Source organism: Homo sapiens, chromosome 18, assembly GCF_000001405.40.
Source record: "Homo sapiens chromosome 18, GRCh38.p14 Primary Assembly".
NCBI classification, from domain to species: domain Eukaryota; kingdom Metazoa; phylum Chordata; class Mammalia; order Primates; family Hominidae; genus Homo; species Homo sapiens.
In genome coordinates this window covers 69078666-69079559 of record NC_000018.10, presented here as the reverse complement: position 1 = coordinate 69079559, position 894 = coordinate 69078666, and the positions used below count along the sequence as shown (strand labels likewise).

Below are 894 nucleotides of genomic sequence, written 5' to 3'. Positions count from 1 at the left end.
AAATGTGTTAATTCTTTAGATAAAAATATCTGAAGGAAAAAGTTCCTAGAAAAATGTTAGGGGCATTTAATGATGTACTTGACGTTAATTAATAGAAATTACAATTCAAAGGTTATTTCTTCATGAATTTAGTTGAACACATGCTATTTGACATAAAATGTTTCACAATATCAGCAAACATGTCATATTATCTATGCAACAATATACATTATCTTAATTATTATAGATTTAAAGGCCTATTGACATCTGATGATATGGAAGTTTCCTTCTTTTTAAAAATATTTTTCATTGCTTCTCAGCCTTTTTGCTAAGATCAAGTGTAGTATCTGTTCTTATCAGCTTAAAACTTATTTCAGAAAAGACATAAGCCTTTCTTGAAATTTATTCTCTTTGCTGTCTTTGATGTTAATTTCAGTACAATTTGACAAATTCTATGCAGATCTCTGTTGGTATTCTGGGTAAACTTAAAGATTAGGGAGAAATGACATTCTTATTATAATGTATTATCCATAAATGCAAGCTTCTCATTTATTTATGGCTTCTTTCAAGACCTACAAAAATGTTGTAATCTTCTCAAAAAGAATTTCATATATATGTTTGAATTATTGAAATACATCTAAATTTTTTGTTCATAGGTTTTAGATTATTATTATTTTCTTTTTTTCAATTGATGTTTTTCAGAAGAATTTTAGGTTCACGGCAAAATTGAAAGGAAAGTACAGTAATATCTTCTCTAGCCTCTGGCCCCACACATGCATAGATTCCCCGATTATCAACATCTCTCACCAGATGGCATTACACATATGTTACAACTGATAAACCTACACTGAGAGATCATTTTCATCCAGAGTTCATAGTTTATATGAGGGTTCACTCTTGGTGTTGTATGGGTTT

The 894-nt window shown here is 29.2% G+C and overlaps 1 pseudogene; it reads left to right on the top strand.

The window, feature by feature from the left end:
* The first annotated feature begins 287 nt into the window (after positions 1 to 287).
* LOC124904376 (uncharacterized) lies at positions 288 to 390 on the top strand (annotated as a pseudogene).
* The last annotated feature ends 504 nt before the right edge of the window (positions 391 to 894 follow it).